This window comes from Homo sapiens, chromosome 9 (genome assembly GCF_000001405.40).
Source record: "Homo sapiens chromosome 9, GRCh38.p14 Primary Assembly".
NCBI lineage: Eukaryota > Metazoa > Chordata > Mammalia > Primates > Hominidae > Homo > Homo sapiens.
The window spans coordinates 133198706-133200737 of NC_000009.12; the positions used below are offsets into that span (position 1 = coordinate 133198706).

Consider the following 2032-nt stretch of genomic DNA (forward strand, 5'->3'; position numbering starts at 1 on the left):
ATCAATATTAAAAATAATAACAGAGCAGGGCAGGAGCAGTGGCTCATGCCTGTAATCCCAGCACTTTGGGAGGCTGAGGCGGGTGGATCACTTGAGGTCAGGAGTTCAAGACCAGCCTGGCCAACATGGTGAAACTCCGTCTCTACTAAAAATACAAAAATTAGGCCTGGTGCAGTGGCTCACGCCTGTAATCCCAAGCACTTTGGGAGGCCGAGGCAGGCGGATCACAAGGTCAGGAGTTCCAGACCAGCCTGGTCAACATGGTGAAACCCCATCTCTACTTAAAATACAAAATAAATAAATAAATAAATAAATAAATAAGCCGGGCGTGGTGGTACTTAAAATACAAAATAAATAAATAAATAAATAAGCCGGGCGTGGTGGCGGGCACCTGTAATTCCGGTTACTCAGGAGGCTGAGGCAGGAGAATCGCTTGAACCTGGGAGGCGGAGGTTGCAGTGAGCGAGATGGCCCCACTGTATTCCAGCCCGGGCGACAGTGTGAGACTCTGTCTCAAAAAAAAAAACCCACGAAAACAAAAATTAGCCAAGCGTGGTGGCCCTCTCCTGTAGTCCCAGCTACTTGGGAGGCTGAGGGAGGAGAATCACTTGAACCCGGGAGGCGGAGGTTGCAGTGAGCTGAGATGGCGCACCGCACTCCAGCCTGGGGGACAGAGTGAGACTCCGTCTCAATAAACAAACGAACAAATAACAGAGCAAAACCAAAATGCCAAGGGAACGTGAGACAGGAGTGCGAGCTGGGAGTCGGCACACGGAGAGGCAGAGACACTCCTCGGAGGCAGAAGCTGGTTCCTTATAGAGATGGAAAGAAAGAAATGGACTCTGGGGAGACTGGAGAAGAACAGAAACACAGGAGGCAGAAATAAATACTGCGGATGGAAGCAGAGACAAAACAAAATGTAAGCTGCTCCAAATCGGCGGCGGAGCGAGTTCTGGAAGAGCGGCGGTGTGGGAACCTCCGGTGCCTTCCTCTCCCAGCTGCAGCTGCGTTCCCAGGCAGGCCTCCCGGGAGCCAGGGACGGAGGCCCAGGACTCCGCCAGGGGTGGGTCCGTTCCCCTTCTTGGAGGGAGTGTGACCCACAGGCCCCACGGAAAGGCAGTGCCACTCCCGTGACATTCCACAAGGCCCCGCTGGCCGGCCCCTGGCCTGCCCCCAGAGAACTGCTCGCAGGCAATGATGCCCTGCAGCCTGAGACCTGGGCACCCCGGCCTTTGCCCCAAGGAGGCTGGGGATAGAAGGGCTTCCTCCAGGATTCTCTGCAGGAGATGAGCAAAACGTCCGCAGAGCCAGTGACTGCGGGACCCACGACAATCTCAGGTCACGCCTGCCGGGAGAAGCAGCACCTGGACCTGAGCCCGGGGACGGGCAAAGGAACGCAGCTCGTGAGTGGCCCAGAGAGCGGGAACCAGAGCGCCCCGACGGCAGCGGAAGCCACCGCGGGCGCCAAACCAGTAACGCGCCCCTTGAGGACAGGAGGCCACGGCGCAAAAGCAGACTGGGCTCGGAAACACGTGCTTTACAAATGGGGAAATGAGTGAGACGATGCAGGAGAGACCGCAACCAGACGTAAAAGGTGAAGACCACCGCGAAGAGGAAGCTCTCAGCCAGAGCTGAGTGAGAGCCCGCGGGCGGGAGGGGGCCGGGCGCGCGGGAGCCTTCCCTGCAAACCCCGGGCGTTCCAGGAGCAGGGAGGCACACGGATGGAGGACAGGAGACCAAGAATGGCATAAAATTTCTCCGAGCAGAAGGAACGCCGCAGAGTGTGAGCGTGAGATTGCTAGCGCTCACAAATTCAGGCAAGGCAGGTGAGGAGAGACACAGGCCTGCGCATCCTGGAAAGCTCTTGGACTTAAAAGATGAAAATAAATGATCCTGGAAAGATCTCGAAAGATCAAGAATATAAAGCGCTTTTGTTTGTTTGTTTTTAATAAAACGAACCCCTAAACGCACACAGAAAGGAAGAACAAGCATCCATGGATTGTTCGGAGAAAAAGGTTGATATCCAAGAATG

At 55.2% G+C, this 2032-nt stretch overlaps 1 annotated feature.

Annotated features, from left to right (window-relative positions):
• Positions 1311-2032: an enhancer, noted in NCBI's record as "H3K27ac-H3K4me1 hESC enhancer chr9:136075403-136076124 (GRCh37/hg19 assembly coordinates)". NCBI's record gives its function as "activates a minimal SCP1, AML or CMV promoter by ChIP-STARR-seq in primed H9 embryonic stem cells {active_cell/tissue: H9 hESC(primed)}" and the evidence as "EXISTENCE:reporter gene assay evidence [ECO:0000049][PMID:30033119]".